Source organism: Homo sapiens, chromosome 9, assembly GCF_000001405.40.
Source record: "Homo sapiens chromosome 9, GRCh38.p14 Primary Assembly".
Taxonomy (NCBI): Eukaryota; Metazoa; Chordata; class Mammalia; order Primates; family Hominidae; genus Homo; species Homo sapiens.
This window is the reverse complement of record NC_000009.12, coordinates 69,154,272-69,175,065: the sequence shown is the minus strand read 5'-3', so window position 1 is coordinate 69,175,065 and position 20,794 is coordinate 69,154,272. Positions and strand designations below refer to the sequence as shown.

The window sequence follows — 20,794 nt, the reverse complement described above, 5'->3', positions numbered from 1 at the left end:
ACCGTGTAAAAGCAGAAACTTGACAAATGAAGACATAAAAAGAACTGGTGACAGGTAGGCTAGTACTAGAATACAAAGCATTCATCACACTCCTCTTTTGTGGGTCCTTCCAAACCTCCATCCCCATTCCCTACTGGAAAAAAAAAAAAAAAAAAACAACTTTTACTTCTATTACAGACGCAGCTGATTGAAAGGGAAAAGGGATTCTGCTCTGTGATGAGTTTTCAGTTTCTCTCACGTACACAAGCCTGTAACTTTGCATCAATACCGAGTGTGGTTTGAAATAGAGAAGGAAAACACAAAGACATGCAAGCGACACAACAGACACGAGATGCCTCCAAGCCAGCAGAAATCCAGGACACCGGGTTCAAGACAGTGTCCCCTACTCGCGCCTTAATCTCCAGCCCAAGTGACTTCAGAGTAAAGGTTCCAGGAGCCCCGGAGGCCACGAGTCATCAGCCCGGACGGTGAAACCTACCCCTCCCCTGCGTCCCACGTCCGGATGGGAGAATCCCAGCTTCCTACGGCGCATCGGGGAACAACTTCAGAGCAGCACGCGAGCAGAGCCCCCAGCGCTCCCACGCTCACGCTCACGACCCTCCTCCCAACCGCGCGGCACAAGGAGGCACTTACGCGGAGCCAACCTGACAGCTCCCGCCGGGGTGGAAACCCGCGGTCTCCTCGCACCGGCATTTCGGACACAGGTCCCGCGTAGGCGCGCAGCTCCGGACCCCGCTTCTGCTTCTGCTCCTGCTCCTACTCCTCCTGGGCACCACCGGACAGTGCTCTGACCCGCAGCCCAACCGCCGGGGTGCCGACCCGCGGGGACCCACCCCTTTGTCCCTCCTCCCGCGGCGGCGGCGGCGTCAGCCCGCCCCCGACCCGAGCGTGGCGCCTCCGCGCTGGCCGCCCGGCCCGGGAAACTGTCAAATTGGCCGCTACCACCCACGCGCCTGCCGGGGAAGGGCTCGCCGGCGCCGCGCCTTCGAGGCTCCTGCGGCGAACCGCGTCACGCGCGACTCCTGGCCGGGGGCGGGAGGCGGCGGCGGCGGCAGGAGAAGCCCAAGGCCCGAGCGGCCCGCAGCCCCCACGCCTGCACCCCTCCACCCCCGCCAGCCCGATGGTTCGCTCCGCGGCGTGCACTGGAGCAAGCAGGTCCCGCTCCGAGCGCGCGCGCTCTGGGAAGTGCTGCAAGTTTGGAGACCTGGAGTGAGCTCCGGGCGCTGCTGGCCCGACTGTCCGCGGTGTTTCCCCGGTGAGGTCGCGGGGGCATCCTGTAGGAAGACTTTTTGGCGAGGTTCGCAGGGCCTCACACAGGCAGCTTCAGTTCTCCTACGAAGAGTCGAACTGGGAAAACCTCAAAGTTTTAGGTCCTGTCTAGAGGCCTGCCCGGCTAACCAACACATACACGGCCTTGTACCCCACATTTCTCAGCCCAACAACTGCCTACCCGAATTCCGAGGGTTATAAGATGTTCGTATTAAATATTAAAACAGGACTTTTCAGGACAATATATTCCAGGTTATCTCTTTGGCACATTTCCAACAACTCCAATAAAGAGATTGAAACTCCTCTCCCATCATCAGCTTATAAAAGGTTGCCAGTAGGTCACAAGTGCTTATCTGACAGGATTCATCTAATGCAATTCAGTGTGCTTATTCCTTTCGAAGTCCTCCATGTGCAAAGAATTGTGCAGTGACGTTAAGTGTCTTTATTTTAAGAGCATATAAATTAATTTGGAGAATCCAAACAGGTACCGATTAAAAATATAACCTTGGGTTTGAAATCTTAAAAAACCATCTTGTAAGAGAATAGTTTTGCCTGCCCTGCTCTTCCCTTAATTGGAAAGCAAAACTCGTCCTAGGCTCACAAGTAGAAGGTAAAAGGTGTGGTCTGTCCCAGAGGAGATGCAGATGCTGGGCTCTCTCCCTGAAAAGTTGCTTCACTTCCTGCCTGATCAAAACAAGTCTAGAAGTTTCGTGGAAAAACAAGTCCAGTAGATGCCTCTCCAGAAGTGTTATGCTTCTGGACTCCTTTGGAGTAACTAAGTCCACGCCTCTGGATAAAAAGCACTGTGAGTAACGTTTCCCACTTTGCCTCGAGTCTCCGGACTTAGACATTTTGGTTGTATTCCTGATGTAAGGCATTGCTCTCCTGATCTAAGCACCTATTTATAAAATGTTTCCCAAATCTGGCCAGGCACGGTGGCTCATGCCTGTAATCCCAGCACTTTGGGAAGGCAAGGCAGGAGAATCACTTGAGCCCACGAGTTTGAGACCAGTCTGGGCAACATAGTGAGACCCCATCTCTATTTTTTAAAAATTGTTTTAATCAAAAAAAAGGAAAAAAAAATAAAATATTTCCCAAATTAGGTGGTGCTGACTAATAAAAATGATAGCACTTGAAAGGTGGCCACACCTTAATGATGTGGGCTTAGAGCCACTAACATTTAAAAAATAATCCAGAATGTGGCAGTTACATCTACTGACTGATTTCCTTTTTTCTCTCTAGAGCGGCACTGTTCAATAAGATGACCACTTGCCACCAGTAAGTGTTTACATTTACATGTAAATTAACTAAAATTAGAGGAAATGACAAATTCAGTTCTTCAGTCACACTTGTCTCATTTCAAGGGCTCAGAAGCCACATGTGGCTAATAGCTACCCTATTGGACAGTGCAAATATAGAATATTTCCATCAATGCAGAAAGTTCTGTTGGACTGCACTACTCGAAATGATGAAATATTTATAGACAAACTCCATTCTTCTGGCACAACACCTGACAGATGATAAGCATTCAGTAAATGGTTGTTAGAAACACGGTTCAGTTGATATATTAGCTTTTTTGCTGGTGGCAGTGTAAATCAATACAACTCTTTGGAGAAACAATTTATTAGTCATCTTCTTCACGTGTGGGTTTGCACATTTTGACCCCACTCCTAGAATGTGTTTATCCAAAGAACTTCTACTCCGCAGGGCGCGGTGGCTCATGCCTGTAATCCCAGCACTTTGGGAGGTCGAGGCGGACAGATCGCGAGGTCAAGAAATCAAGACCATCCTGGCCAACATGGTGAGACCCCGTCTCTACTAAAAATAACAAAAATTAGCTGGGCGTGGTGGCGCACGCCTGTAGTCCCAGCTGTTCAGGAGGCTGAGGCAGGAGAATCGCTTGAACCCAAGAGGCGGAGGTTACAGTGAGACGAGATTGCACCACTGCACTCCAGCCTGGTGACAGAGCGAGATTCCGTCTCAAAAAAAAAAAAAAAAAAAAAAAAATTCTTCTACTCAACAGGTACTTACTGAACACCTCTGTCAACCCCTTGATAAAATACTCAGGATCCTGCCTTAGGAAACTCAGTCTATTGCAGTAGACAATCAACAAGTAATGATAAACTGTGTAAGCACTGAGATTCCTGGCAGGCTCAGAGTGGTCTAGCAGGAGAGACTTAGGGAAGGCTTTCCAGAGATGGGGTTGCTTATACATTCTAAAGGAGAGGTCGGAATGAGTTTTTAAGACACAAAGAAGGAAAAAAGCCTTCCAGGTAAGGGGAATAAATAACACAGAGAGAAGTAAGGAAGGAAGAGACAGCAGGCTTACTCTTGAGGTGCCAGAAGGTGAAGTTGCCCAGGCAAGTATAAAGATGGATTTGACAGTTGGTGGGGGACAGGGGTTGGTGGGGGAGGAGAATGTTAGTAAGAATGACAAGACCGGCCAAAAATGCATTTTTGTGGGAATGCAGGTGAGAGATGACGTGGCTATGAAGTTAGGCAGTGTTAGACAAAAGGGAGCCAGATTCTAGAGAAACTAAGGAAGTAGATCAGCAGGCTGGATGACTGCCTGACTAGATATGGGGAGACGCGAGCGGGAAGTGAGCCTACGCTGACTCTCAGGTTTCTGGCTTACTTAAAGGAGATGACGGTGGCTTTTATCAAAACAGAACACAGGAGTGGGAGCAGATCTTGGGAGGAGCTTGAAGAAAGATGATGAGTTTAGTTACAGACTGATTTTCAAGTGCTATGGGTCATCCAGGTGAAGATGTTCAGTAATTTAACAAATATGTATCAAGTGTCTCCTATGTGCTAGGCACTGATGAGTATTTGAGGAGAGAGATTTGGGAGTGATTTGGGTATCATCAATGTATCATAAAAGTTGAAGTCTTGGGAGGGGACAATCCCACATTCAGAGACGTGATGTAGATTAAGCCAAGAGAGGACTAAGGACAGGACTCATCTCTGGGAATGCCAATATTTAGGGGGCAGACTTGAGTTGCCAGAACAGAGACCAAAGAGGAGCTGCCAGAAAGGAAAGAAAACGCTTCTGGAGGAGAGTGTCCAAAAAGCCAAGGAAAGAACAAACTTCAGGAAAGAGGGAGAGGCCAACAACATGGAATTTCGAGGAGGTCAATTAAGGTAAGAACTGATGATGTTCATTAAGTGGAGGACCACTGCTTATCTTGGCCAGAGCTTTTCAATGGAAAGATACGACTGGAGGTTAGATTACAGTGGATGACTAGGTATGAGGCAGCACTTCACTATATGCCTGTATCTAATAATGAATGATGGAAACCACCAATGTCCAATGATGGTGGGCTGGGCTATTAAATTACAGTAAATCAACATAATTGGCATAGCAGACCATCATTTAAAATTGTAATAAGGAAGTCTATACAACAAGGAGAATGATAATGCTATAATTATCAACAAAAAAACACAAATTACATCTAATGTATGATGATGACAGTGATAAAATTATAAAAAAAATAAAAACTGGAAAGTATGCAAAAAAATGACTTCATGAAAAGACAGGCTTGTGCATATATTTTTCTTTTTAAATTTAGTTATTGTTTGTGCAATGGACAATTTTTTTCAACTTTTCAGTGTATATTACAATATATAAGGTCTCTGAAATAGGTTGGTCAGCTAGGTGCAGGGGCTCATGCTTGTAATCCCAGCACTTTGGGAGGCTAGACAGGAGGATTGCTTGAGCCTAGGGATTTGAGTCCAGCCTGGACAACATAGTGAGATTCTGTCTCTACAAAAACTAATAATAAAATAAAATTACCTGGGCATGGTAGCATGTGCCTGTAGTCCCAGCTACTCGAGGACTGAGGGGAGAGGATTGCTTGAGCCCAGGAATTTGAGGCTGCAGTAAGCTATGACTGCACCACTATACTGCAGCCTAGGTGACAGAGAGAGACACTGTCTCAAAAAATAAGAAATAAGTTGGTCAGAAGACCTTAATGAGATAAACTAAATGCCTTTTAGTCATATTTTCTCAAGAATGTGGAGATCTTAAGAAACATATCTGTGTGTGTGTATATATATATATGTATATATCTGCAATATGGTTATAAAGTATCATCAACTGGGAGCAAAGAAAACTAACACTGAAAAGTTTACAAGTTCAGCCGGGTACGGTGGCTCACGCCTGTAATCCCAAAACTTTGGGAGGCCGAGGCGGATGGATCAACTGAGATCAGGAGTTCGAGACCACCCTGACTAACATGGTGAAACCCCGTCTCTACTAAAAATACAAAAAAATTAGCTGGCATGGTAGCAGGCGCCTGTAGTCCCAGCTACTTGGGAGACTGAGGCAGGAGAATCACTTGAACTTGGGAGGTGGGGGTTTCAGTAAGCCGAGATCACGCCACTGCACTCCAGCCTGGGCGACAAGAGTGAAACTCCATCCCCCCCCCAAAAAAAAAAAAAAAGAGAAAAGTTTACAGGTTCACCAAACAATTTAGTTAACGTGTACACTGTAAAGTAGACTGGAATCGTAACTCTCCTTTAACAAACCTTTCTTGAATGCCTACCATATACCCTGGGGTAGCTATACAGAAGATAATGACAATTTATAAAAGGGAGCCTGCTCACAGTGTGTTGAAGACAACGATATGTAAACACATTGTGACACGTTAGGAGAATTGCTCAACTACAGAGATGACTAAAGTGCTGAGGCAGCAGCTAAAACTCCGCCAGAAGGACCTGATGTTTTTTCAGTAAAGGCCTTGTGTCCTCCCCCGTCCCCGCCCCCACTTCCAGGTAGCCTCATCTCCTCTCCTGGCTCCACCCATCTTCCTCAGTCCAAACACCAGTTAACAATAACCACCCGGTTCACCTGCAGGCTTCCTCCCACAATAATCACCCCACTCAATGGCCCCTGTGATTACCTCCAGGAGAGCGGCATCTAACGTTCTGCTTCCCCCTTATGCTTTCACTTTTAGTTATTATATATTACTTTCTTTTTTCTTTTTTTTTTTTTTTTGAGACAGTTTCGCGCTTGTTGCTCAGGCTGGATTGCAATGTGCAATGGCGCCGTCTTAGCTCACTGCAACCTCTGCCTCCCAGGTTCAAGCGATTCTCCTGCCTCAGCCTCCTGAGTAGCTGGGACTACAGGCGCCCACCACCACACCTGGCTAATTTTTGTATTTTTAGTAGAGATGGGGTTTCACCGTGTTGGCCAGGATGGTCTCGATCTCCTGACCTCAGGTGATCCACCTGCCTCAGCCTCCCAAAGCGCTGGGATTACAGGCATGAGCCACCGCGTCCTGCCCTCATGATCACTTTCAAAGTTTGTTAAAGTCCTCCTCTTTTTTCTTTTTTGAGGGTGGGGGTAATTAACTTGTACACTTCCCAGATCCTAAATAGCTTCGACACTGTTTTCAGTTGTACACAGAGCTGCTTCTAATGCCATATGCCCTCTGACACCCACCCCCAAGAAATAATAGACCTGTGAATTGAGATGCTCCTCATTCCAATACATGATGGTTCTAGAAATAGAGAACAAAGCTGACTTTATAGCAATCATAGATGTATAAAGATTACAAAGACAGCAAAGTATTTTCAAGCTATCTTCCAGCACAGAGGAACACATTCTAAACCACTCTAAGAACTCTCAGACCTCCTCCATCTTTTGGGCAACTGAAGATTCTTGCTTTTCCTTTAGAAACATTCAGTGGATCACTCATAAGTAATTTTCAGACTACCTGTCTTCAGGATTGTTCCCACATCTTGATATTATGTAGAAAGAACAAAGCTGCTCTAAGTTGCCACTTTTCAATTATTTTAGGTTGGTGCAACAGTAATTGCGGTTTTTGCCATTAAACCCAACACGTTGGCATCTACGTTTCTAGTATCTCAAAGAACAGAACAAATTTTCACGCAGACATTCTTCTTCTTCTTCTTTTTTTTTTTTTTTTTGACAGACTCTCGCTCTCTTGCCCAGGCTGGAGTGCAGTGGTGCAATCTTGGCTCACCATAACCTCTGCCTCCCAGGTCCAAGCAATTCTCGTGCCTTAGCCTCCCAAGTAGCTGGGATTACAGGCATGTGCCACCATGCCCGGCTAATTTTTGTATTTTTAGTAGAGGTGGAGTTTCACCACGTTGGCCAAGCTGGTCTTGAACTCCTAGCCTCAATTGATCTGCTTGCTTCAGCCTCCTGGCCTCCCAAAGTGCTGGGATTACAGACGTGAGCCACCACACCAGGCCAGGTAGACATTCTTCTATTTATTAAAGCAAGTAACTTAAGGTGTAAGGCTATTTACATTGTTCCATAGTTACTAAAAACTATTTTCATTTTTGTTAATTTTTTAGACCACTGAGTTTTGCAAGAATAAGGTGCTCATTATAAAGCATCTGAGGAGTTCAGAAGAGCACCAAGAAATTTAAAAACTAAAGTCCTAATACCTGTCTTCGACATTAGGTGAACATTCCAGACATATATACAGACAGAAGACCACATGGATGACTTATCAAGAAACGAAAAATGTTTACAAAAATGAGATCCCACTACAGTATTATTTTTATTTATTTATTTTTATTTTTATGTTTTTGAGACAGTCTTGCTGTTGCCCAGGCTGGGGTGCAGTGGCATGATCTAGGCTCACTGCAACGTCCGCCTCCTGAGTTCAAGCAATTATCCTGCCTCAGCCTCCCAAACTGGGATTACAAACATGTGCCACCACGCCCAGCTAATTTTTCTGGGGTTTTTTTTTTCGTAGAGACGGGGTTTCACCATGTTGGCCAGGCTGGTTTTGAACTCCTGACCTCAAGTGATTCTCCCGTCTTGGCCTCCGAAAGTGCTAGGATTATGGGCGTGAGCCACTGCACCCAGCCTATTTTATTTATTTTTCAGAAAAAGTCTCACTCTGGCCCAGGCTGGAGTGCAGTGGCACAATCATAGCTCACAGCAGCCTCCAACTCCTGGGCTCAAGCAGTCCTTCCACCTCAGCCTCCCAAGTAGCTGGGACTACAGGCCCATGCCACCAGGCCTGGCTAATTTTTTAAAAAATATATTTTTAAGGCTGGGCACGGTGGCTCACGCCTGTAATCCCAGCACTTTGGGAGGCAGATCACTTGAGGCCAGGAATTCAAGACCAGCCTGGCCAACATGGTGAAACCCCGTCTCTACTAAAAATACAAAACTTAGCCAGGAATGGTGGCGCATGCCTGTAATCCCAGCTACTCAGAAAAAAAAATTATTTTTAGTAGAGATGAGGTCTTGCTATGTTGCACAGGCTGGCCTCAAACTCCTGGCTTCTAGCTATCCTCCTACCTTGGTCTCCCAAAGTGCTGTGATTACAGGCATGAGCCACGGTGCCTGGCCCTGTGTTGTTTTACTGTTTAAAACTGTTTTACTGTTTACTGTTTAAAAACAGTAAATAAGGTTAGGCAGATGGCTCACGCCTGTAATCCCAGCACTTTGGGAGGCCAAGATGGGAGGATTGTTTGAGCCCAGGAGTTCAAGACCAGCCTTGGGCAACATAGCAAGACCTGATCTCTACAAAAAACAGCTAGGCCTGGTGGTACACACCTGTAGTCCCAGCTACTTGGGAGGCTGAAGCAAGAGGATGGCTTGAGCCTGGAAAGCAGAGGCTGCCTAGCCGAGATCGTACCACTGCACTCCAGCCTGGGTGCCAGAGCAAGACCCTGCCTCAAAAAAAAATAAAAAAGAATTAGCTGTGCAATTCAGAGTCAGCTATGGCCTGAACGGATTAAGAAGCTGGGGTGCCCTAGACTGGTGTTTGGGGAGAGTCCTGGGTTGGAAGGAGATGACTGTAGTCTAGGCTGACCACATGCAGACTCCTAGGTGACTTATAGGGCTCATCTGGGTGTGCTCAGGCTGGTGGGCAGAGGCCACGGTGGTGCTCCGCCTGGGGCTGAGGCAGAGCGTAACCCTGATCCACTCCTGGAAAGCCAAGAAGCATCCTATGGCACACGTTCTAGTTTAGACATACCTGCTGGGGAGCGTGCTTTGCAACATGGAGGAGGGAGCACTTCTTCCTGGCAGGACACCCTGGGTCCTCAGAGGCACTCCAAGGTGCTCCAAAGTATGACAGCTTTTACTATTTTACTGCTGTTTACACTGCAGAATATATGAAAGCCACACTCTCTTTTCGGGGATAGAGACCCCTTGTTAGCCCTCCACTGAGAAGCAGTGGAGAAACTCTGATAAACAATGATTGACTAAATGCATATTCTGTGCCAAGAGCTTTTCATATACTATACTAAGTCATTCAATGTAGTGACTATATAGTCAGTATTCTTGCCCCTGCTTTATACGTGAAGAAACTATGCTTCAGAGAAAGCAGTTTGCCCATGGTTGTCCTCAAGCAGATGGAATCCAAACCCACCGGGCATGGTGGCCACACCTGTAATCACAGCACTTTGGGAGACCAAGGTGAGAGGATCACATGAGCCCAGGAGTTCAAGACCAGCCTAGGCAACATAGGAAGACCCTGTCTCTACAAAAAATAAAAATAATAAAAGTAAATGAGCTAGCGTGATGGCACACACCTGAAGTCCCAGCTACTCCAGAGGCTGAGACAGAAGAATCACTTGAGTCCAAGAGGTTGAGGCTGCAGTAGCCGTGATTGTGCCACTGCCCTCCAGCCTCAGTGACAGACTGAGACCCTGTCTCAAAAAAAGAAAGAATCCAGCCAGGCGCCGTGGCTCAAGCCTGTAATCCCAGCACTTTGGGAGGCCAAGGCAGGCGGAACACTTGAGGCCAAGAGTTCAAGACCAGCCTGGCCAATGTGGTGACACCCCGTCTCTACTAAAAATATAAAAATTAGCCGGGCGTAATGATGGGCGCCTGTAATCCCAGCTACTCGGGAAGCTGAGGCAGGAGAATCGCTTGAACCTGGGAGGCGGAGTTTGCAGTGAGCCAAGATCGCACCACTACACTCCAGCCTGAGCAACAGAGCAAGACTCCATCTCAAAAAAAAGAAAAAAAATCCAGGTCCAGGTCTGTCAGATTCAAAGCCCATTCACTTCCCGGCTTTCCGGCCCCTCTATTCTTTGCCTCTACCCAGTAAAACAATTGCATGGGGTGGGAGGAGAGGTGTGGCTGTTATTGTTGCTTTCCTTTTAGCTTCTTTTAACAGAATGCAAGACGATTTTTGCTCTCGCAGCAACTAAAGTGAGTTTTATCCAAGCAATGCTGGGGAATCAAGTTTGTGAAACTCTTCCTATGAAATATTAAAAAGGTCAATGCCACAAATGCGATTTGACTCCAACGAGAGAATCCTTGATTCAAATGCCGTTCTATTGTCTAACTGAGTTTCAGAGCTCCCTTCACCCCCAAAATACTTTAAGAAAAACACTTCAGTAAACAAAAATTTTCACTAAATAAAAAGGCCCTCCTCTCAGGGGCTCTAAGAGGGAATATAAGGTGAGCAAGGCCCAGGGGACTGTCCAGTACTCTGGGGAAACCAGAGGGCCCTCTGCATTCCTGAATTGCTTTAAAAAACTTATCACCAGAATCGGCTAGCTCTAAGAATTCAGGATCCTCGATCAACACAGATTAAAGTTGAAGAGTATCTTAGATTCACAAAGAATTTTCGGATCTGAAAGTGGCCTTAGAAAAAACCTGCAAGCAAATAGCTTTCCAGGGTAGCCATGCAAATTTGCATGGGCCTCTTTAAACAAAGGAAACTGGCCTGGAAAAGGCACCTCCGGGAGATGTTCAATAAAAATTGAAAACGTGGCTCATAAAATTTATGGTTCTATAAGACAGTGTCCTAAATTTCTCTGATGATAGGAATCACCAGAGGCACTTGTTAAAACCAGTGTCCTAGGTCCCTTGCTAGAGATTCCAATTCAGTGGGTCTGAGAAGGGCGTTGGGATCTGACAGCGTTCACATGCCCCCCCAGGTGATTCTCATCATGGGAGAGGTTTAGGAAATTCTGCTAAAGGGACATCATTACAATTCTCTGACACAAGACAGAAAGATTACAATTTTGAAGTCAGGTAAAACATTTTGAAGTTTAAAAAAATAATTATTTGCAGCTGGGCATGGCAGCTCACGCACGCCTGTAATCCCAGCACTTTGGGAGGGCTGAGGTGGATGGATGGCTTGAGCTCAGGGATTTGAGTTCAGTCTGGGCAACATGGTGAAACCCCATCTCAATTTTTTTTTTTTTTTTGGAGACAGGGTCTCTCACTCTTTTGCCCAGGCTGGAGTGCACTGATACAATCTCAGGTCACTGCAACCATTGCCTCCCAGGCTCAAGTGATCCTCCCACCTCAGCCTCTCAAGTAACTGGGAACATAGGCGTGCACCACCATGCCCAGCTAATTTTTGTCTTTTGGGTAGAGATGGGGTTTCGCCATGTTACCCAGGCTGGTCTTGAATTCCTGAACTGAGGCAATCCACCTGCCTTGGCCTCCCAAAGTGCAGGGATTACAGGCCTGAGCCACCGCACTCAGCTAAAAATGTTTTAAAATAAAGATACTGAGGCCGGGCGCGGTGGCTCACGCCTGTAATCCCAGCACTTTGGGAGGCCGAGGCGGGCGGATCACGAGGTCAGGAGATCGAGACCATCCCGGCTAAAAGGGTGAAACCCCGTCTCTACTAAAAATACAAAAAAAATTAGCCGGGCGTAGTGGCGGGCGCCTGTAGTCCCAGCTACTTGGGAGGCTGAGGCAGGAGAATGGCGTGAACCCGGGAGGCGGAGCTTGCAGTGAGCCGAGATCCCGCCACTGCACTCCAGCCTGGGCGACAGAGCGAGACTCCGTCTCAAAAAAAAAAAAATAAAATAAAATAAAGATACTTTTTAAAAAATAATTATTTGCAAAATGCTGTGTACGTTTTTCAGAAGAAAAGGGTCTGGTCTTACAATTCTTTTTATGTTATTTACATATGTTTGTACAAACACACATTTGGATTTCAGTTTTTAATATAAGTGATAATTGTTTATTCACTCAAACTATGCAGTAAGTAGATCACCAAAAAGTGGTAAAGTACAACTAAAATGTCACCATCCAGAGCCAACTACTGAGCACCTTTCCAGGTATCTCTCTGCACAGACAAGTAGGTACATATTGTACACAACTTAGACACCTGGGGTATACACTTGGGATACACCAAATTTGCTCTTTTGCAACCTATTTCTACATAAGAATAGAGTTTGACTATTTGTTTCATGAACTAGATCTCTATCATCATCTTTTCTAACTGCATAATATTCCATTTGTATGAATATACCATAATTGGCTGAATAAATACTTTCATTTAAAGTTCTCCTTCAAACTAGTATAGAGGACAATTTAAAAATCAGATGAATGAAACTCCTGATTCATTTAGCATAGATAATGAGGAAATAAGTAGCTTGTAAGACTCACGCAGAATTCATAAGATGTGTTAAGTGTAAACAGTAAGTTGTAAGACATGTAAGATAATAACCTGTAAGATGTTAAACAGAATAGAATATTCCTGTGTTAAATATAGATTAAAAGAATGAAACAAATGAGAGTTTTACTTATACATACAAAGAAATGGAGGAATGAAATAAATTTTAAATCTTACAATATTTACTTAATAGTAAAGTTAATAAATATTTAACTTATAATTGTATTTTATATATAATATATAATACAAAATTATACTTTATGTATATATATAATATATAAAGGCATATATATTCATATATAATATATAAAAATTATATTTATTATATAATACAATTTTATAAAAATATAATTTGTATAATTATATGCTGTTATTTATTTATTTATTTGAGATGGAGTTTTTGCTCTTGTCACCCAGACTGGAGTACCATGGCATGATCTTGGTTCACTGCAACCTCTGCCTCCTGAGTTCAAGCAATTCTGCCTCACCCTCCCAAGTAGCTGGAATTACAGGCATGCACCACCACGCCGGCTAATTTTGTATTTTTTAGTACAGACAGGGTTCCACCATGTTGGCCAGGCTGGTCTCAAATTCCTGACCTCAGGTGATCCACCCACCTCGGCCTTCCAAAGTGCTAGGATTACAGGCGTGAGCCACCACACCCGGTCAATTATATATTGTTTATATAATATATAATTATATATAAAGTATTTTTCTAGATTATGATTTACATTGTTAATAATAGACACTTCATAAATATTAATAATATATAATAGTGCTCAGCTCATGTTACCCCAAGATTGACAGCTATGTCATTCCTAAATTGATCACCCATAGGTGACATCCATCATGTTCAGTTCTGGCCCCACATATACTCTGCCCCAAAATGTAGATAAAACACAGATCAGGCCGGGCGCAGTGGCTCATGCCTGTAATCCCAGCACTTTGGGAGGCTGAAGCGGATGGATCACGAAGTCAGGAGTTCGAGACCTGCCTAGCCAAGATGGTGAAACCCCATCTCTACTAAAAATAGAAAAATTAGCTGGGTGTGGTGGCGCATGCCTGTAGCCCCAGCTACTTGGGAGGCTGAGGCAGGAGAATGGCTTGAACCCAGGAGGCGGAGGTTGCGGTGAGCCAAGATCATGCCATTGCACTCTAGCCTGGGCAACAAGAGCGAAACTCCATCTTAAACACACACACACACACACACACACACACATCACTGATGACCTACAGCTATTGGCCAGGCATACTACCTTGCATCCCTCCGACACAGCACGCATGTGCTGACTTCAGATACTTCCCATCCGTTGAAGCCCCTTGTTCAACCTTAACTTTGGTTTTTGTGACCACACCATCAGCAGGGAAAGCTGACACTGCAAGCATAGGGTTCCAGAAGTGTGGATCTCTCACCCCATTTGTATCCTCACCTACCTGTTAGTCTCCATCTGATATGGTTTGGCTGTGTCCCCACCCAAATCTCATCTTGAATTCCCACAAGGTATGGGAGGGACCCAGTAGGAGGTAATTGAATCAAGGGGGCAAGTCTCTCCCATCCTGTTCTCATGATAGTGAATAAGTCTCACGAGATCTGATGGTTTTAAAAAAGGGAGTTTCCCTGCACAAGCTCTCTTCTCTTGTCTGCTGCCATGTGAGACGTGCTTTTTACCTTCTGCCATGATTGTGAGGCCTCCCCAGCCATGTGGAACTGTGAGTCCAATTAAACCTCTTTCTTTTGTAAATTGCCCAGCCTTGGGTATGTCTTTATCAGCAGCATGAAAATAGACTAATACACCATCTTTTTCCCCTTGCTTCTCACTATGTTTTCAAGTTGAGTGAATCGTGTGATTTTAACACCTGGTTTTGGTCTCTGAGCTTTTCTGTCCCATGCTCTCTGGGAGAGCTTGCTGGTAGGCCAGGACTACATCCAGCTAAACTTTTCCACATTCCTAGAGTAGTGAAGGAAAGCAAGCAAGGTGTGGAGTCATAATGAACAAAATCAGGTTTGTAGAAGGTACATCAAATTCTTTGCTAATCTAGGATCTGAAGGCCAGGTTAAACACAAGAGTGAAATCTTTCATTTAATTTCAGGAATGTAGGGAGCTTTCAGCTTTTCCTACCTCCAAAGTCATAAGCTAAGTTTTTGTTTGTTTCTGTTTTTTGTTTTTGTTTTTGTTTTTTGCTGAGCTCTGTCACTGAGACATGATCTAAGTTTTTAAACAAGTCAATCCAGGTTTATTTCCAAAAGATTCAGAAGTCCTTCAGATTTACATTGTAAACACTAAATCACATAAGCAGAGTGTTTTTCTATTATTTTTTCCAGAGCCAATCCTAGCTATTCTTCCCAATGACACTTTATTTTTTACATATCTTCTCCCTTCTTGATCGAGTTCTGCCTTTGCTTGAATCATCCTTCAGTTGCTAAAGTATTTTGATTTCTTGTTCTAAGTCTTGGGAAAGCATCCCTCTTTATTGCTATATATATATACACACTCTAGGAAAAAAAAAGAAACACACACACACACATATATATATATATGTATATATTTCTTTCTTTTTTTTTTTTTTTGAGACAGAGTCTCCCTCTGTTGCCCAAGCTGGAGTGCAGTGGCTCACTGCAACCTCTGCCACCCGGGTTCAAGTGATTCTCCTGCCTCAGCCTCCCGAGTAGCTGGGACTACAGGCGCGTTCCACCACCTGGCTAATTTTTTGCATTTTTGGTAGAGACGGGGTTTCACCGTGTTAGCCAGGATGGTCTCGATCTCCTGACCTCTTGATATGCCCACCTTGGCCTCCCAAAGTGCTGGGATTACAGGCGTGAGCCACTGTACCCAGCCAACTATTACCATATTTATTCTGCTGAGCTAAAGCTATCAGAAGAGACAAATGTAACTTTAACAATTTACAAAGCCTCTTTCAAAGCGTATTGACAGAGTTAATTATTTTAAGTAACCAGTCTTAAGATGTGAAGTAAAAATAATTTTATATATGCATAAATGTTTGATTACTTGTATATCAATATCAATATTATATTTCAAATATCAATATCAAACAGCAATAATTATAATAAAAATTGTATATATTTTTTCAAACATCACTATTTTATTTTTTTGGAGACAGGGTCTCACTTTGTCACCCAGACTGGAGTACAGTGGCGTAATCTTGGCTCATTGCAGTCTGGACCTCCTGGTCGCAAGTGATGTTATCTTCCTGCCTCAGCACCCCCAAGTAGCTGGGATTACAGGCGCCCGCCACCACACCCAGCTATTTTTTTTTCTTTTTGGTATTTTTTGTAGAGACAGAGTTTCTCCATGTTGCCCAGGTTGGTCTCGAACTCCTGAGCTCAAGCAATCTGCCCACCTCAGCCTCCCAAAGTGCTGGGATTACAGGTGTAAACCACCGTGCCCGGCATATTTTTTTCAAATATCAAATAATTTTGATGGGGGGGGGGCGGTGAATCCTGCCCAAGGGGATTGCCTAATCTCACTACACAATCAGATTACCTCTAAATGAATAAAAATTTTGACTGAACTGAAAAGTTTTGTCACCAACCATTCAACTGATATGAGTGAAGAATCAAAACCGATGTGAGTGAAGAACCCCCCCATTCCAGCCAGAACTAGAAGCAAATTCTTCATCTCAATTTTATCAGATGAAATGGAAATCATAAGATAAGCTTCCAGCCTGGTGCAGTGGCTCACACCTATAATCCCAACACTTTGGGAGGCTGAAGCAGGAGGATTGCTTGAGGCCAGGGGATGGAGGCTGCAGTGAGCTATGACCATGCCACTGCACTCCAGCCTGGGGAACAGAGCAAGACCCTGTCTTGAAAATAAGAAGAAGAATAAGCTTCCTTAAACAGCAACGTTTAAGGGAAGAGCTAAGGGAAGTGCTTTTATTTAGTGCTGTGCGCAGCCCATAGGACACCTGAAACCACTTACTGGGCCTCTAAGTTTCTGGCATAGGTAGAGGAGAAAGTGTCAGAAGGGCAGGTGATAGTGAGGAAAAGGAACAAAAAGCACAGAGAAGCCTTTTAAGATTTGGCTGTGAAAAGTTAAGAGATCTAGGGCTCTGGGTCAGCTTTTTTTTTTTTTTTTTTTTTTTTTGAGGCAAAGTCTTGCTCTGTCCCTCAGGCTGGAGTGCAGTGGCGCCATCTAGGCTCACTGCAACCTCCACCTCCTGGATTCAAGCGATTCTCCTGCCTCAACCTCCCGAGTAGCTGGGATAGCTGGGATTACAGGCGTGCACCACCATGCCCGGCTAATTTTTTGTTTTTGTTTTTTAGTAGAGATGGGGTTTCACCATGTTGGTCAGGCTGGTCTGGAACTCTGACCTCAGGTGATCCACCGCCTCAGCCTCCCAAAGTGCTGGGATTACAGGAGTGAATCACCGCACCCGGCCAGCCACTGTGCCTGCCTCTGGGTCAGCTTTTAATTCTTAGGTTCTGAATTCTTTTAAACATGCAGGAGTATAATTAAATTATGCTTCAGAACCTAGCTTGAGTATTACTCATCTACATGCTATGCTTAAGATGTCCAGACATCACAGATTTCCAAGGATAGGCCAAATGACCAGCACTCTGTCTTGTTGGTTCATGAGTAAAAAAGCACACACTCTGATTTCTGTTTGGAAAATATGTTTAGCTTTAAGTCATTAGAAAGCAAGAAAGAATAAGGACCAGGCGTGGTGGCTGACACCTGTAATCCCAGCACTTTGGGAGGTCAAGGCAGATGGATCACTTGAGGTCAGGAGTTAGAGCCTGGCCAAAATGGGAAACCCGTCTCCACTAAAAATACAAAAATTAGCTAGGCATGGTGGCGTGTGCCTCTAATCCCAGCTACTCAAGAGGCTGAGGCAGGAGAATTGCTTGAACCCGGGAGGTGGAGGTTGCAATGAGCCAAGATCATGCTACTGTAATCCAGCCTGGGCGACAGAGTGAGACTCTGTCTCAAAAAAAAAAAAACCAACTCTGCAGACACCTTGAGTTCAGACTTCTAGCCTCTAGAACCATGAGACAATAATTTATGTTAATTTCTGTTTAAGCCACCCAGTTTATGGTGCTTTGTTACTGTGGCTTCGGCAAACTACTACAAATGGGGATTAGAGTTGGACCTCCACCTCATGGGATGGGTATGAGAAATAAGACGATGGAAGTAACATGTTTGAGTAACATGTTTAGCACAGCACCAACTACACAGTAAGCACCCACATTTCATCATGATCATTATACAGTTGCATCTTTATTTCATATCTATAAACCAAAAATAAAATTTGAAGGGCCCCTGCAACCATCTGAATGGACTTCCTCCTTGGCCGGGGAACCCTAAAATTTAACCTGAAAGACTGGTTCAGGCCATGAAGGGAAGTGGGGGTTGGACATGCCCCATCATACCCCTCCAATATTAACATCAACACTGACCTGAAGTCTGATAAGAAATGTTTACAGTTTATTCTCTAAAGCCTGTTACTTGGAGGCTTTAGAATAGCAGTACTTATGACCTGGCAGCCCCTAGGTACCCCTAGAGTAGAGTACCTATGACCTGGCAGCCCCTCTACCCCTTTTGAGTTGTCCTGCTCTGCCAGATGGAACCAATGTAGTAAATCTTACATGTATTGGCCGGGCGCGGTGGCTCACGCCTGTAATCCCAGCACTTTGGGAGGCCGAGGCGGGCGGATCACGAGGTCAGGAGATCGAGACCACGGTGAAACCCCGTCTCTACTAAAAACACAAAAAATTAGCCGGGCGCAGTGGCGGGCGCCTGTAGTCCCAGCTACTCGGGAGGCTGAGGCAGGAGAATGGCGTGAACCCGGAAGGCGGAGCTTGCAGTGAGCGGAGATCGCGCCACAGCACTCCCGCCTGGGCGACAGAACGAGACTCCGTCTCAAAAAAAAAAAAAAAAAAAAAAAAAATCTTACATGTATTGATTGATGTATTATGTCTCCCTAAAATGTATAAAAGCAAGCTGTACTCTGACCACCCTGGGCACATGTCGTTAGGACCTCCTGAGCCTGTGTTATGGGCATGTCCTGTAACCTTGGCAAAATAAACTTTCTAAATTTTTCTTTTTTTTTGGGACAGAGTCTCACTCTGTTGCGCAGGCTGGAGTGCAGTGGCAATCTCAGCTCACCGCAACCTCTGCCTCCCAGGTTCAAGCAGTTCTGGTGCCTCAGCTTCCCAAGAAGCTGGGATTACAGGTGCACACCACATACCCAGCTAATTTTTGTATTTTTAGTAGAGATGGTGTTTCACCATGTTGGCCAGGCTGGTCTCAAACTCCTGGCCTCAAGCGATCTTCCAGCCTGGGCCTCCCAAAGTGCTAGGATTACAGGCGTGAGCCACCCTGCCTGGCCAAACTCTCTAAGTTGATTGAGACTTTGTCTCTGATACTTTCTGGTTTACATATAGGAGTCACAATGGAATTCTCAGAACAAACACAAACCTTTTCTTCTCACCTAGTGCAGCATCTCCAGACTCTTTTAATGTACAGGCTCTGCTCCGAGTTTCTCTTCCCCCATAAGTGCACATAGCCAATAACTTTTTAGCCTCAGGTTTCCTTTCAAATATCACCTGCCGCAGGAATCCTCCCCTGACTTAGTCACTGCTTCAGGCCTTCTGCCACATCCTCTTAAGGGGGTGAGGGCAGTACTTTACACACAGCAATGCAATTTACTGATTCCAAATTAGGCTCCAAAGTCTACCAGGGACAAGCTTAATATTCCTCTACATTTCCCTCAGCAGCACAGTGCGAGATGCTCATTAAATATTTGAGGACAGAATCCCTTCCCCACAGATAGAGAAACTGGCCACACACACCATCTGTAAACAAGCCCATGCTCTAAACCAGCCATTACAAGTACTCTCCAGGTTAGTGGTTGTCAAAGTAGTGGAAACCAGACATGCAAATTCCTGGGACTTACCCCAGACTGCCTGAAGCAGAAACCCTGGGGGTGGGGCCCAGGAATCCGTGTTTTAACACGCCCTCCAGGCGATACCGATGTGCCACTGCTCTGGGTCTGTCCATCCCAGTATGGAAGTTTGGCTGCTGGAGTGATTTCCCTGAGAATTCCTGTAAACCGAGGAGCCCCTAGGGAAGAGGGAAAGAAGCTATAGAGGGGCTCCCAGGTGCACAGAAGTAAAAGTTTCGAGCTTTCACCTTCAACTCACTTCTTTTGTTTTCTTTTCCTTTTTTTTTTTTTTTTTTTTTTGGAAATGGAGTTTCACTCTTTCGCCCTTTCACCCAGGCTGGAGTGAAGTGGCACGATCTCGGCTCACTGCAATCTCTGGCCCACCAGGTTCAAGTGATTCTCCTGCCTCAGCCTCCTGAGTAGCTGGTATTGTAGGTGCCCAGCACCACACCAGGCTAATTTTTGTATTTTTAGTAGAGATGAGGTTTCACCATGTTGGCCAGGCTGGTCTGGAACTCCTGACCTCAGGTGATCCACCCACATCGGCCTCCCAAAGTGCTAGGATTACAGGCGTGAGCCACTGACCCCAACCTCAACTCACTTTTCTAAGCCTATATGATGGGGTGAGTCAGTGATAACTTTAAGGTATCTAAATTGCCTAACAATGAGATTTCGTATCTAGAAAATGAAGCTCTTCACCAGACTATTAGCATCTTTTTTTTAATTTTTATTTATTAATTTTTTTATATAAAATTATAAAATTGAAAAAGAGACAGGGTCTCCTTATGTTGCCCAGGTTGGTCTTGAACTCCTGGGCTCAAGGGCTCCTCCTGCCTCAGCCTCTGAAAGTGCTATGATTATAGGTGCGAACCACCATGCCTGGCCTTCTTTTTTTTTTTTTAATGGAGACAGGGTCGGTCTATGTCGCCCAGGTGCTCTTGAACTCCTGGGCTTAAGCGATCCTCCCGCCTCAGCCTCCCAAAGCCTTAGCATTATTTCTGAAGGCAAAGATGATCCTGCCAAGTCAGAAAGGTGATAATCAAAGCCCCTTAAAGTTGCAAAAATCCAGCCTCAGGCAAACAGTGCTCATCAGAGGAGAGACTCCAGAATGGCAGAGGAGAGCAGAATGAGTAGAGGCTGATGATTAGAAACCTCAGGTCCAGAGCGGTTTGGCAGACACCTGCTCCACCCACGCCGGACATTGCCAATCGATCACAACATTCTTGCTCAACAAACTTGAGCGGCACTTGCAAATC

General features: G+C 45.1%; 1 protein-coding gene and 1 long non-coding RNA gene across 15 annotated transcripts in view, besides 2 other annotated features; one reads left to right on the top strand and one right to left on the bottom strand.

Annotated features, from left to right (window-relative positions):
* Positions 1–20,794, bottom strand: part of TJP2 (tight junction protein 2) — a 133,945-nt gene that overhangs the window by 80,143 nt on the left and 33,008 nt on the right. For 3 of the 14 annotated variants that reach the window (NM_004817.4, NM_001369872.1, NM_001369873.1), the window contains exon 1: positions 634–789. The exons of 8 other annotated variants lie outside the window; for them this stretch is intronic. In NM_004817.4, coding sequence (NP_004808.2) covers positions 634–693 — 60 coding nt within the window. In that variant the 5' untranslated portion in view covers positions 694–789. Of the gene's footprint in view, positions 1–633; positions 1,012–19,550; positions 19,718–20,794 lie in introns of those variants that run through there. 3 more of the 14 variants (XM_047424092.1, NM_201629.3, XM_047424091.1) reach the window with 2 other exon arrangements.
* Positions 771–1,200: a silencer, noted in NCBI's record as "silent region_19933". NCBI's record gives its function as "represses an Ori minimal core promoter by ATAC-STARR-seq in GM12878 lymphoblastoid cells {active_cell/tissue: GM12878}" and the evidence as "EXISTENCE:reporter gene assay evidence [ECO:0000049][PMID:35858748]".
* Positions 3,469–10,506, top strand: LOC124902175 (uncharacterized). Its single transcript, XR_007061566.1, has 2 exons — positions 3,469–4,410; positions 7,594–10,506. It is a non-coding gene; the product is annotated as an uncharacterized LOC124902175 (long non-coding RNA).
* Positions 19,627–19,686: an enhancer, noted in NCBI's record as "active region_28446". NCBI's record gives its function as "activates an Ori minimal core promoter by ATAC-STARR-seq in GM12878 lymphoblastoid cells {active_cell/tissue: GM12878}" and the evidence as "EXISTENCE:reporter gene assay evidence [ECO:0000049][PMID:35858748]".